This window comes from Homo sapiens, chromosome 9 (assembly GCF_000001405.40).
Source record: "Homo sapiens chromosome 9, GRCh38.p14 Primary Assembly".
NCBI lineage: Eukaryota > Metazoa > Chordata > Mammalia > Primates > Hominidae > Homo > Homo sapiens.
This window is the reverse complement of record NC_000009.12, coordinates 92,684,203-92,699,127: the sequence shown is the minus strand read 5'-3', so window position 1 is coordinate 92,699,127 and position 14,925 is coordinate 92,684,203. Positions and strand designations below refer to the sequence as shown.

The 14,925-nt window shown below is 42.6% G+C and overlaps 2 annotated features.

Moving 5' to 3' along the window:
- Window positions 796-965: an enhancer, noted in NCBI's record as "experimental_109806 CRE fragment used in MPRA reporter constructs". NCBI's record gives its function as "activates a minimal promoter by MPRAs in K562 erythroleukemia cells, with activity observed for the introgressed 9:95460530 variant allele {active_cell/tissue: K562}" and the evidence as "EXISTENCE:reporter gene assay evidence [ECO:0000049][PMID:34662402]".
- Window positions 13,102-13,271: an enhancer, noted in NCBI's record as "experimental_109803 CRE fragment used in MPRA reporter constructs". NCBI's record gives its function as "activates a minimal promoter by MPRAs in K562 erythroleukemia cells, with activity observed for the non-introgressed 9:95448224 variant allele {active_cell/tissue: K562}" and the evidence as "EXISTENCE:reporter gene assay evidence [ECO:0000049][PMID:34662402]".

Below are 14,925 nucleotides of genomic sequence, written 5' to 3'. Positions count from 1 at the left end.
GATTGCAGGGGCAGGGGTTGGCATCCCTAACTTCTGCATTGTTCAAGGGTCAGCTGTACATGGAAAATCCTGAAAAATATGCATGCCACAAGTGGGACATGCTACTGGTGCATGTGTGTGAGACCCACCACTGCCCTGCCTCTAGTGTGCACATGTGGGGACCCCTGTCACCCCATCAGTGCCCCATGGAATCACTTTTGCCAGCCCCCCTCCATAAGGGTGTTTTTGGCAGGAGACTGGGAAAACCTCAGCCCCACCAGTGCAGCAGATTCTTAACCTAGTGGGGCCAGAGAAAAAGGCTGCAGGTCTGGTCCCAGCACCCCCAGGTTTAGAGCACTCAGCCTGGGAGTGCAGAGCTGAGTCTTGGCCCCATGAAATCATCCAGAAACAAAGCCAATTGACTAAACCCAACTTATACCATAGTTCAACCCTCAAGCACATCAAAGAATATAAAAGCAAAAAGCTCCATTCAAAGGACAGCAGCTTCAAACATTAAGTGAACATCACCCCACACAGATGAGAAAGAACCAGTGGAAGAACTCTGGCAACTCTAACAGCCAGAACGTCTTCTTAACTCCAAACAACCATATTAGATCCCCAGCAATGGTCCTTAGTCAGACTGAAATAGCTGAAATGACATAGAATTCAGAATCTGGATGGCAATAAAGATCATTGAGATTCAGGAGGAAGGTGAAAGCCAATCCAAGGAATCTAAGGAATCCAACAAAATCATACAAGAGCTGAAAGATGAAATAGCCATTTTAGAAAGAATCAAACTGATCTAGAGCTGAAAAACTTGCTATAAGTTCATAATACAATCAGAAGTATTAACAGCAGAATAGACCAACCTGAGGAAAGAATCTCAGAGCTCACAGATTAGTTCTTCAAATCAACTCAGACAAAAATGAAGAAAAAATTTTAATGAGCAAAGCCTCTGAGAAATATGGGATTATGTAAAGAGACCAAACCTATAATCGATTGGCATCTCAGAAAGAGAGAGCAAGCAACTTGGAAAACATATTTGAGGATATTGGCCCCAAAATTTCCTCAACCTCAGTAGAGAGACTGGCATGCAAATTCAGGAAATTTGGAGCACCCTAGAAAGATACTGTATCAGGCAACCATCCCCAAGACACATACTCAGTAGATTCTCTGAGGTCAACACAAAAGAAGAAATGTTAAAGGCAGCTAGAGAGAAGGGGCAGGTCACATACAACGGGAACCCCATCAGGCTAATAGTAGACTTTTCAGCAGAAGCCTTACAAACAAGAAGAGATTGGGGAAATATATTCAGCATCCTTAAAGAAACAAAATTCCAACCAAGAATGTCATATCCAGCTAAATTAAGCTTCATAAGCAAAGGATAAATAAAATCCTTTTTACACAAGCAAACACTAAGGAAATTCATTATTACCAGACTGCCTTACAAGAGGTCCTTAAGGGAGTGCTAAATATGGAATACAAAACAAAAGACTGTTGCCTGCCACCATAAAAACACATAGTCCACTGACACTATAAAGCAACTATACAATCAAGTCTGTGTAACAACCAGTTGACAACATGACTGGATCAAATCCTCACATATCAATATTAACCTTGAATGTAAATGAGAAAACATCCCACTTAAAAGGCACAGAGTGGCAAGTTGGATAAAGAAGCAAGACCCAACTGTATGCTGTCTTCAAGAGACCCATCTCTTGGCTAGGAGTGGTGGCTCACATCTCTAATCCCAGCACTTTAGGAGGACAAAGCAGGAGGATCACTTGAGCCCAAGAGTTGAAGACCAGCCTAGGCAACATAGTGAAAGAATTTAAAAAGAGAGAGACCCATCTTATATGCATGACACTCATAAGCCCAAAGTAAAGCAATGGAGAAAGATCTGTGAAGCAAAGAGAAAACGAAAAAGAACAAGAGTTACTATTCTTACTTCAGACAAAATATAAACCAACAATGCTCAAAGAGGACAAAGAAGGACATTCCATTAATGATAAAGAGTTCAATTCAACTATCCTAAATATATATGCATCCCAAATTGGAGCACCCAGATTCATAAAACAAATTATTAGAGACCTACAAAGAGACTTAAATAACCACATAATAATAGTAGGGGACTTCAACACCCTACTGACAGTGTTGGACAGAACATTGAGACAGAAAACTAATAAAGGTATTTGGGACCTAAACTCAACACTTCACCAAATGCACCTGACAGACATCTACAGAATGCTCCACCCAACAACAGAATATACGTTTTTCTGTTCTTATGTACACATGGCACATACTCTTAAGATTGACTGCACACTCAGCCATAAAGCAATTCTCAACAAGTTAAAAAAAAAACAAACCAACCACACTCTCAACCACAGTGCAATAAAAATAGAAATTAAAAACAAGAAGATCTCTCAATACCATATATGGAAATTAAACCACTGGCTCCTGAATGACTTTGGGTAAAGAATGAAATTAAAGCAGAAATCAAGAAACTCTTTGAAACTATTGAAAACAAGGATGCAACATACCAGAATATCTGGGACACAGCTAAAGCAGTGGTAAGAGGAAAGTTTATAGCTGTGAGCACCCACATCAAAAAGTCAGAAAGATCTCAAATTAACAACCTAACATCACACTTAGAGGAACTAGAAAAACAAGAGCAAACCAACCCTAAAGCCAGCAGAAGAAAAATAACTAAAATGAGAGCTGAACTGAACAAAGTTGACATGTGAAAACCCATACAAAAGATCAATGAAACCAAAAGTTGGTTCTTTGAAATACTATCGCAAGGACAAAAAACCAAACACCGCATGTTCTCACTCACAGGTGGGAATTGAACAATGAGAACACATGGACACAGGAAGGGGAACATCACACACCCGGGCCTGTTGTGGGGTGGGGGGAGGGGGGAGGGATAGCATTAGGAGATATACCTAATGTTAAATAACGAGTTAATGGGTGCAGCACACCAACATGGCACATGTATACATATGTAACTAACCTGCACGTTGTGCACATGTACCCTAAAACTTAAAGTATAATAAAAAAAAAGAGAGTAAACCCCAGGTGTGGACAGACATGTAACCCATAGGTCTTCCCTGCAGTGGAGCGCTATTGATCTCACAGCCAAGAACAGTGCTGAATTTGTCCTCTCTGAAGAAGATAGAGTCAAAAAGTACAAGGAGTGAATGACTGAGCTACTATACTCAATTTTATTATTATTATCAATTAATTAACTTATTTTAATTGTCAAATAAAAATGATATATGTTTATGGTGAAAAAAAAAATGAGACTCATAGACCTCTAGCTAGACTGATAAAGAAAAAAAGAGAGAGAAGATCCAAAGAAACACAATCAGAAATGACAACGGTGACATTACCACTGGCCTCACTGAAATACAAGAAACCCTCAGAAAGTATTATGAACATCTCTATGCACACAAACTAGAAAACCTAGAAGAAATGGATAAATTGCTGTAAACATTCAACTTACCAATATTGAACCAGGAAGAAATTGAATACTTGAACAGACCAATAACAAGTTCCAAAATTGAATCAATAGTAACAACAACAACAACAACAACAAAAACCTACCAACCAGAAAAAGCCCTGGACCAGATGGATTCACAGCTGAATTCTACCAGACATGTAAAGAATAGCTGGTACAAATCCTACTGAAACAATTCTAAAAAATTGAGGAGACAGACCTCCTCCCTGATTTATTCTATGAGGCCGGAATCATTCTGATACCAAAACCTGGTGAAAAAAATAAAACTTTAAGCTAATATCCCTGATAAAATTAGATGCAAAAATCCTCAGCAGAACACTAGCAAATTGAATCCAGCAGCACATTTAAGAGCTAATCCACTATGACCAAGTAAGCTTTATTCCTGGGATGCAAGGTTGGTTCAACATATACAATTAAATAAATGTGATTTCTCACATAAACAGAACTGAAAACAAAAACCCCATTATCATCTCAATAGATGCAGAAAAGGCTTTTGAAAAAATTCGACATCCTTTCATGTTAAAAGCCCTCCACAAACTAGGTATTGAAGGAACATACCTCAAATTAATAAGAGCCATCTATCACAAACACACAGCCAACATCATACTGAACAGGCAAAAGCTGGAAGCATTCCCCATGAGAACCAGAACAAGACAAAGATGCCCACTCTCACCACTCCTATTCAACATAGTACTGGAAGACCTAGCCAGAGCAATCGGGCAAGAGAAAGAAATAGAAGGCATCTGAATAGGAAGAGAGGAAGTCAAACTATTTCTCTTCACAGATGATATGATTCCATACCTAGAAAACCCTAATGTCTGTGCCCAAAGGGCCCTAGAACTGATAAACAACTTCAGTTAAGTTTCAAGGTACAAAATTCAATGTACAAAACCCAGTAGCATTTCTATACACCAATAACATTCAACCTGAGAGCTAAATGAAGAACACAATCCCATTCATAATTGGCACAAAAGGAATAAAATGCCAGCTGGGCACAGTGGCTTATGCCTGTAATCTCTGCACTTTGGGAGGCTGAGGTGGGTGGGTCACCTGAGGTCAGGAGTTCAAGACCAGCCTGGCCAACATGGTGAAACCCCTTCTCTACTAAAAATAAAAAAATTAACTGGGTGTGGTGGTGGGCGCCTGTAATCCCAGCTACTTGGGAGGCTGAGGCAGGAGAATTGCTGGAACCTGGGAGGTGGAGGTTGCAGTGAGCCAAGATGGTGCCATTGCGCTCTAGACTGGGCGGCAGAGCGGGACTCCATCTCAAAGAAAAAAAAAAGAAAAAAAAGAATAAAATACCTAGGAATACAGCTAACCAGGGGTGTAAGAGATCTCTACAACAAGAATTATAAAATGCTGAAAGAAATCAGAGATGACATAAACAAATGGAAAAACATTCCATGCTCATGGATGGATAGGAAGAGTCAGTATTGTTAAAATGGCCATACTTCCCAAAGCAATTTATAGATTCAATGCTATCTTATCAAACTACCAACACCATTTTTCACAGAATTAGAAAAAAACTATTCTAAAATTCATATGGAACCAAAAAAGAGCTTGAATAGCCAAAGCAATCCTAAGCAAAAAGAACAAAGCCCAAGGCTTCACACTACCTACTTCAAACTATACTACAAGGCTACAGTAACCAAAACAACATAGTACTCGTACAAAAACAGACCACATACACCGGTGGAACAGGTTAGAGAACCCAGAAATAAAGTCACACGCCTACAGCCATCTGATCTTTGAAAAACTGACAATAACAAGCAATAGGGAAAGGACTCCCTATTCAGTAAATGGTGCTAGGATAACTGGCTAGCCATATGTAGAAGATTGAAACTAGGACCCTTCCTTTCACCATATTAAGAAAACTCCATGAATTAAAGACTTAAATATAATAACCTAAAACTTTTTATAAAAACCCTAGAAGAAAACCCAGGAAATACTATTCTGGACATAGGCCTTGGCAAAGATTTCCTGACACAGACTCCAAAAGCAGTTGCAATGAAAACAAAAATTGACAAGTGGGATCTAATTAAATTAAAGAGCCTCTGCATAGCAAAAGAAACAATCAACAGTATAAGCAGACAGCCTACAGAAAGAGTGAGTGAAAATATTCAGAAACTATGCATCTGACAAAGATCTAATATCCAGAATCTATAAGGAACTTAAACAGATCAACAAGCAACAAACAACCCCATTAAAAAATGGGCAAAGGACATGAACAGATACTTCTCAAAGAAGACATACACTTTGCCAACAATTGTATGAAAAAGTGCTCAACATCACTAATCATTAGAGAAATGCAAATCAAAACCACAATGAAATACCGTCTCACACCAGTCAGAATGACTACAATTAAAAAGTCAATAAATAAGGCTGGGCATGGTGGCTCATACCTGTAATCCCAGCACTTTGAGAGGTCAAGGCAGGTACATCACCTGAGGTCAGGAGTTTGAGACCAGCCTGGCCAAAATGGTGAAACCCTGTCTCTACTTAAAATACAAAAAAGTACCCGGATGTGGTGGTGGGTGCCTGTAATTCCAGCTACTTGGGAGGCTGAGGCACAAGAATCGCTTGAACCCAGGAGTTGGAGGTTGACCTGAGATCACACCACTGCACTCCAGCTTGGGCAACAGAGTGAGACTCCGTCTCCAAAAAAAATAAATAAAAATAACAAATCTACAAACCTTTAGCTTGACTGACAAAGAAAAAAAGAAGAAATGTGAATAACTAGAATCAGCAATAGAAGTGGAGACATTACTATCAACCTTACAGAAATGAAATGTAAGAGAAGAAATGAAATGTAAGAGAAAAAACGATGAACACCAACAAATTAGATAACCTAGATGAAAGACAACTTCCTAGAAACACACAAATTATCAAAACTGACTCAAGATGAAATAGAAAATACGAACAAGCCTATAATATGTAAATAGATTAAATCAGTAATTTAAAACCTCCCAGCAAAAAAAACATCTCAAACTACAGGACTTTCTTATTGAAGTCTACAAAACGCTTAAAGAATAATGAACACTGGCCAGGCACGGTGGCTTATGCCTGTAATCCCAGCACTTTGGGAGGCGGAGGCAGGCGGATCACCTGAGGTTGTGAGTTTGAGACCAGCCTGACCAACATGGAGAAACCCTATCTCTACTAAAAATACAAAAAAAATTAGCCAGGCATGGTGGCGCATGCTTGTAATCCCAGCTCCTGGGAGGCTAAGGCAGGAGAATTGCTTGAATCCGGGAGGCGGAGGTTGCAGTGAGCTGAGATCGTGCCATTGCACTCCAGGCTGGGCAACAAGAGCAAAACTCTGTCTAAAAAAAAAAGAAAAGAATAATGAACACCAAACCTCCTTTTTAAAAAAGTTTTCTTCCCTAAAAAGGAACACTTTTTAACTCATTCTATGGAGCAATTATTACATGTATACCAAAGCTACCTAAAGACACCACAAGAAAAAAAAAAAAGCAATATTTCCATATGACTGTAAATGTAAAAAATTCTCAATAAAATAATGGCAAACTCAATGTAACAGAATATTAAAAGTATTATACAGTATGACAAAGCAAGATTTATTACAGGAATGCAAGGGTAGTTCAACATAAGAAAATCAGTGTAATACACCGCATTAACAGAATGAAGAGAAAGAAAACCACATGATTATTTCAGCTGATATAAGAAAAGTATTTGACAAAATCTAACTCTTTTATGATTAAAAAAAAAAAAACTCAGAAAACCAAGAATGGAAGGGAATTTCCTCAGTGTGATAAGGGCATTTATGAAAAATCCACACCTAACATTATACTCAATGGTGAAAGACTGACTGCCTATCTCCCTAGGAGATAAAACAAGGATACTTGCATTAATCGGTGCTTTGTAAGCTTTACCTTCAGGAGCCCCTCCAAGTTCTTAGACTTAGAACAAAGAAAAGCGTCCTGCTACTGGCAGGCAAGAGGAAAGTAGCTATGTTGCAATATGCCCAGAGCTCTCTGTTCTCTCTAACAAAGGCCTGGCCTCAAGGGAAACTGTTTCACCAGAGCCTCACTAACTTGGAAAGATGGAAATTCCTAACATCAGCTCTATGTAGCCCTCCTGTCTCATCTAAGGAGGGAAAAAAGCCAAAAGCACCTGTGACTGTAACATCCCAGGGAGCCCAGACCCACCAAAAGACTGAGATAACCATGGGGTTATAGATCATTTATCATTGCCTGACATTTTACCACCATATCAGTTGGGCTCCTGTTTAATAATAACAAGGGATGGCCAGGCGCAGTGGCTGACACCTGTAATCCCAGCACTTTGGGAGGCTGAGGTTGGCAGTTCACAAGGTCAGGCGTTTGAGACCAGCCTGGCCAACATGGCAAAACCCCGTCTCTACCAAAAATACAAAAATTAGCCAGGCGTGATGGCATGTGCCTGTAGTCCCAGCTACTTGGGAGGCTGAGGCAGGAGAATCGCTTGAACCTGGGAGGTGGAGGTTGCAGTGAGCCAAGATAGTGCCACTGCACTCTAGCCTGGGTGACAGAATGAGACTCCGTCTCACAAAAAAACAAAACAAAACAAAACAAAAAGCACAACACAGGGGATTAGGGATTACAGTGGAAGGAACTGCAAGGCTCAGACCCTATTAAGAAGTCTCCAGGGGAAACAAAACAAAAAAAAAAAAAGAGAGAGAGAGGGGAAATTTAGCCTCTGACACCTACAGCTATGCCAAACAGTAAACAAAGCCTAACTTCTAGCCAAATAAACATAAAACCTCACACTAGAGGCCTATTTGCCTCAGTTTATTTTACCCAATATATTATGTCTGGCTTTTGACAAAAAATTACAAGGCATGCTAAAAGGTAAAAAAACACAGTCTCAAGAGACAAAGCAAGCAGCAGAACTAGACTCAGATATGGCAGAGATTTTGGAATTATTAGACTGGGAATTTAAAATAAGTATGAATAACATGTTAAGGGCTCTAATGGCAAAAGTGAACAATATGCAAGAACAGATGGGTAATGTAAGCAAAGGAATGGAAACCCAAAGAATCAAAAGGGGATAAAAACCACTATAACAGAAGTAAAGAAAGCTTTTGATGGGCTTACTAGTAGGCTGGACATTGTCAAGGAAAGAATCAGTGAGCTTCAAGATATGTCAATAGAAATTTCCCAAACTGAAAAGCAAAGAGAAAAAGGAATGAACAAATGGAATCCAATATCCAAGAACTTTGGTACAATTACAAAAAGTGTAGCATACACATAATGGGAATACCAGAAGGAGAAGAAAGAGAAAAGGGAACAGAGGAAGTACTTGAAATAATAATTGAGAATTTTAAAAAATTGATGACAGATTCCTAACCACAGATCTAGAAAGCTCAAAAGAATACCAAGCAGGATATGTGCCAAAAAACCTACACCTAGACATAGCAGAAAACAAAAGACAAAGAGAAAATATTGAAAGAAGCCAGAGGGAAAAAACACCTTACCTACAGAGGAACAGAGGTAAGAATTACCTCAGATTCTCTTCAAAAGCCTTGCAAACAAGAAGAGATTAGAGTGATAGAAAGTTTTCAAAGGAAAACAAAACTACAAACCTAGACTTTTGTATCCAGTGAAACTATCCTTCAAAAGTGGAGGATAAATACTTTCTCACATAAACCAAAACTTAGGGAATTTATCACCAGTAGACCTGCCTTGCAAAGAATGTTTAAAGTTCTTCAGAGAGAAGGAAAATGATACAGGTCTAAAATTTGGATCTACATAAGGAAACAATAGCATTAGAAAAGGAAAAAATGGGCTGGGCACGGTGGCTCACGCCTGTAATTCCAGCACTTTGAGAGGCTGAGGTGGGTGGATCACGAGGTCAGGAGATCAAGACCATCCTGGCTAACACGGTGAAACCCCGTCTCTACTAAAAGTACAAAAATTAGCCAGGCATGGTGGCGGGCACCTGTAGTCCCAGCTATTTGGGAGGCTGAGGCAGGAGAATGGCATGAACTGGGAGGCAGAGATTGCAGTGAGCTGAGATCACGCCACTGCACTCCAGCCTGGGCAACAGAGTGAGACTCCGTCTCAAAAATAAAAAAAAAAAAGGGGAAAAATGAAGATAAGATAAAATAATTTTTACTTTTAATGGATCTAAGTTTGCTCAAAATAATAATAGTAAAAATGTATTTGGTGATTATAGCTTATGGGTAAGTAACATGAATGTCAGCAATGTTTTAAGGGATGGAAGTGAGAAATAGGGAATGTTTTATTACATAGTACTTGCCCTACCCATGAATTTTATTTTAATGATAGCCATCCTAATGGATGTGAAGTGCATTCCTTTACTTTTAATCTGTTTGTGTCTTTATATTTAAAATGGTTTCTTATAGACACAAATAGATTAAAAGTAAAAGGATGTGTGTCACACTCATTAGGATGGCTTTTTTCTTTTTGAGATGGAGTCTCGCTTTTTCTCCCAGGCTGGAGTGCAGTGGCGCTATCTTGGCTCACTGCAAGCTCCGCCTCCTGGATTCACACCATTCTCCTGCCTTAGCCTTCCGAGTAGCTGGGACTACAGGCACCTGCCACCACGCCCAGCTAATTTTTTGTATTTTTAGTAGAGACGGGGTTTCACCATGTTAGCCAGGTTGGTCTCGATCTCCTGACCTCGTGATCCACCCACCTCGGCCTCCCAAAGTGCTGGGATTACAGGCGTGAGCCACTGTGCCTGACCGACAATAAATTAAACTTTTATTGAGGCATAAGCTGAGGTCCAGAAATGCATTTCCACTGACTTAACCCCAGCACTGTGAAAGGAGGAGCCATGCACCCTAACTTCCCTCCCTCCTCCACCAGGCATGTTCATCCCCAGTTTCCCACTCAGGAGCCCTTCCGAGGCCCAGGCTGCGGATCCATAGCCTGAGCACACATGACCGTATGATTTCCAGCTCCCCTGGTGCTTCAGTGGGAGTTTCTGTGGTGGCTGTTTGGGTCGCCCCTGGTTATTTGATCTGGTAGCTGGCACTTGCAGCTCATTTGAACACTAGACTCCCCACTTTCCACTTCTTTTGGGGGTGCATCCATGTGTGCATTTGTTGGGAGGGCATTGGCTGTTTGCTTTCAGGGCAGCCTCCTACAACGGAGCCGAAATGAAGTGAATTAAAATGAATTTTGCAGTGGGACGTCTAAGCTCATTTCAAGACAGCCTGAAGGTAATAAGAGACAGCTGAGGTCCAGACACAAACCAGACCCCTCAGAAGCATCCTTGGGGTGCAGAGAGCTACTGTAAGCTTCTGCTGCTTCCTGTGTGTGTCATGGCTCAGGGCACTGCCAGCATCGTGGGTTTAAGGGGTCATCTGAAGGCTGGGCGAAGTGGCTCGTGTCTGTAATCCCAGCACTCAGGGAGGCCGAGGCAGGTGGATCACCTGTGGTCAGGAGTTTGAGACCAGCCTGGCCAACATGGTGAAACCCGTCTCTACTAAAAATACAAAAATTAGCCGGGTATGGTGGTGAACACCTGTAATCCCAGCTGCTCAGGAGGCTGGGGCAGGAGAATCTCTTGAACCCGGGAGTGGGAGGTTGCGGTGAGCTGAGATCACGCCACCGCACTCCAGCCTGGGTGACAGAGTGAGACTCTGTCTCAAAAAAAGGAGGAGGGGTCATCTGAGACCTTTATTTCTCCCTTTGTTAATAACACATAAGTACACAATAACACAGATAATGACTATGACATAGTGAAGCAAACACCTGCCATCCAGCTTAAGAAGGAGTAGCCCTACCTCCCTACCACCTACCACCTTCTCCTGTGTGCACTGTGCATGCCCCTTCCCTCAATTTGGGTTGATTACTACCAATGTGTAGTCCCCAGACAATCTTGTTTAGTTTACAGGTTTTGAACTTTTTTTTTTTTTTTTGAGATGGAGTCTTGCTCTGTCACCCAGGCTGGGGTGCAGTGGTGTGATCTTGGCTCACTGCAACCTCCGCCTCCTGGGTTCACACCATTCTCTTGCCTCAGACTCCCCAGTAGCTGGGACTACAGGCGCCCGCCACCATGCCCAGCTAATTTTTTTGTATTTTTAGTAGAGACAGGGTTTCATTGTGTTAGCCAGGAGGGTCTCAATCTCCTGACCTCGGGATCTGCCAACCTCGGCCTCCCAAAGTGCTGGGATTACAGGCATGAGCCACTGTACCTGGCCTGAACTTTGTATAAATGATATCAATCTCCTGTACTGTATTCCAATTTGATTTTTAAATTCAGCATTATATTGGTGAGTTTGTTTCATGTGGGCATCTGAAGCTGTTGTCTGTGTTTACAGCTGTATAGTATTCCTTTGAGTGTGTCCCTGTTATTGGTTGTCTGGGTCATTTCTGGGCTTTGCTGTCATGAACAAGGCTGCTACAAGCACTGTGCACGGGCCCTAGGCATCCACGTGCAGCAGGTGCTCCAGGAGTAGGAGTGGGCAGGTCCCCTTTATGGAGGATATGTCCTCTCACAGTGGCTGTACTGCTTCCCACTGCCACCAGAGGGGGAGTCCCCTTTGCTCCACATCTTCCCCAACTAACACTGGTCTTTTCAGATTTTTAAGTACTTACCAACGTGGTTTTGTCTTGTTTTGTTTTGTTTGTTTGTTTGCTTGATGCAGTCTTGCTCTGTTGCCCAGGCTGGAGTGCAGTGGTGCCATCATAGCTTACTGCAGCCTTCACCTCCTGGGCCCAAGTGATCCTCCTGCCTCAGCCTCCTGAGTAGCTGGGACTATAGGCTTATGCCACCGCACCTGGCTAATTTAAAAAAAAAAAAAGAAAAAATTAAGGCTGGGCGCGATGGCTCATGCCTATAATCCCAGCACTTGGGAGGCCGAGGTGGGCGGATCCTGAGGTCAGGAGATCGAGACCATCCTGGCTAACATGGGTGCAACCTCATCTCGACTAAAAAAAAAATACAAAAAAAAAAAAATTAGCCAGGCGTGGTGGCGGGTGCCTGTAGTCCCAGCTACTCAGGAGGCTGAGGCAGGAGAATGGCGTGAACTCGGGAGGCAGAGCTTCAGTGAGCCGAGATCATGCCACTGCACTCCAGCCTGGGCAAAAAAGCGAGACTCCGTCTCAAAAAAAAAAATTGTGCCTGGGTGCGGTGGCTCACGCCTGTTATCCCAGCATTTTTCGAGGCCAAGGAGGGTGGATTGCTGGAGGCCAGGAGTTCAAGACCAGCCTGGGCAACATAATAAAACCCCATCTCTACAAAAAAGTACAAAAATTAGCTGGATGTGCTGGTACATGCCTGTAGTCCCAGCTCTAGGGAGGCTGAAGTGGGAGGATCACCTGAGCCCAGGAGGCTGAGGCTGCAGTGAGCCAAGATCACGGCACTGCACTCCAGCCTGGGCAAGAGAGTGAGACACTGTCTCAAAAACAAAAAAATTTTTTTTTAGAGGTGGGGTCTTGCTATATTGCCTAAGCCAGTCTCAAACTCCTGGCCTCAGGTGATCCTCCTGCCTTGGCCTCGCAAAGTGCTAGGATTATTCAGGCATGAGCCACCACACCCAGCTGAATCCGGATTTTTTTTTAATTAACTTTATTGAGATATACATACAAGAAAATGCACCCATGTAAGTTCAGCTTGCTCTCTTTTAATAAGTGTAACCAGCACCTCAATAAAGATATAGAACATGTCCACAACTCCACAAAGCCCACCGGTGCCCTTTGAGGTCAGTCCCTACCCTTGGTCCCAGGCAACCACGGATCTGCCTTCTGTTGGGGATGACTTTTGGTGTTTCTTTTGCTCAGCATGTTTCTGAGATTCGTGGGTGTTGTACACACCAGTGGTCTGTGCCTCACAATTGCAGAACAGGGTTTTGCATACTTTATTCACTCATCCACTGATGGACATTTAGATAGTTTCCAGTTGGGGACTATCAAAAATAAAAATGTTGTGAACATTCAGTTATAGATATTTGTTGGGACATAGGTTTCATTTCCCTTGAGTAGATACCTAGGAGTGGAAGTGAATTGCAGAGTTGTGGGTTAAGTAGTGTAGGTCAAGCTTTGAAACTTCCCAGTGATTCTCTACCCATGGCCGCGCAGGCCTCTAGTGGCTTTGTATCTTCTCCAGCCATTGGCATTGTTGGTCCTCTTTTTTTTTTTTGAAATGGGGTCTTGCTCTGTCACCCAGGCTGGAGTGCAATGGCACGATCTTGGGTCACTGCAACCTCCTGGGTTCAAGCAGTTCTCCTGCTTCAGCCTCCCAAGTAGCTGGAATTACAGGCATGTGCCACCATGCCCTGATAATTTTTGTATTTTTAGTAGAGACGGGGTTTCGCCATGTTGGCCAGCCTGATCTCAAACGCCTGACCTCAGGTGATCCGCCCACTTTGGCCTCCCACGGTGCTGGGATTACAGGCATGAGCCACCAGGCCCACCCATTGGTCTTCTTAATTTTGGCTCCTCTGGTGGGTGTGTAGTAGTCTCTCTTGTGGTTTTGATTTGCATTTCTTTGCTAACTGAAGGTGCAGCACATTTTAATTGTTAGCTGACATTTGTAATTTATAGTTGTGAACTGGCAGGCCATTTGCCTTCAGTGGGAAAATCTGTGTGTGTGTTGCTTGTCTTATTATTGTAAGAGTTTGTTTTTCTCTGGATTTGAGTTCCTGTTGTGCGAGAGATACATAGGGTATTTTCTCCCAGTCTGTAGCTTGTCTTTTCATTTCCTTTTCTTTTTCTTTTTTTTGAGACAGAGTCTTGCCCTGTCGCCCAGGCTGGGGTGCAGTGGCGCGATCTCAGCTCACTCCAGGCTTGTCTCGAACTCCTGACCTCATGATCCACCTGCCTCAGCCTCCCAAAGTGCTGGGATTAGAGGCGTGAGCCACCGCACCCAGACTTCATTTCTTTTTCTTTTTTTTGAGACAGAGTCTTGCTCCGTTGCCCAGGCTAGAGTGCAGTGGCGCGATCTTGGCTCACTGCAACCTCTGCCTCCCAGGTTCAAGCTTTTCTCCTGCCTCAGCCACATGAATGCTGGGACTACAGGCGCCTACCACCACGCCTGGCTAATTTTTGTATTTTTATTAGAGACAGGGTTTCACCATATTGGGCAGGCTGATCTCGATCTCCTGACCTCGTGATCCGCCCGCCTCGGCCTCCCAAAGTGCTGGGATCACAGGCATGAGCCACTGCGACCAGCCTCTTCTTAATGGTATGTTTTGTTGAAGAGAATTTTTTTTTTTTTTTTTGAGGCACGGTCTTGCTCTGTCACCCAGACTGGAGTGCAGTGGCATGATCATAGCTCACTGCAACCTCTAACTCTTGGGCTCAAGTTATCCTCACACCTCAGCCTCCTGAGTAGCTGGGACCACTGCCTGACTAACTTTTTTATTTTGAATAGGGTCTCACTATATTGCTCAGGCTGGTCTTCAACTCCTGAGCTCAAGTGACCCTCCTGCCTCAGACTCTCAAAGTGATGGA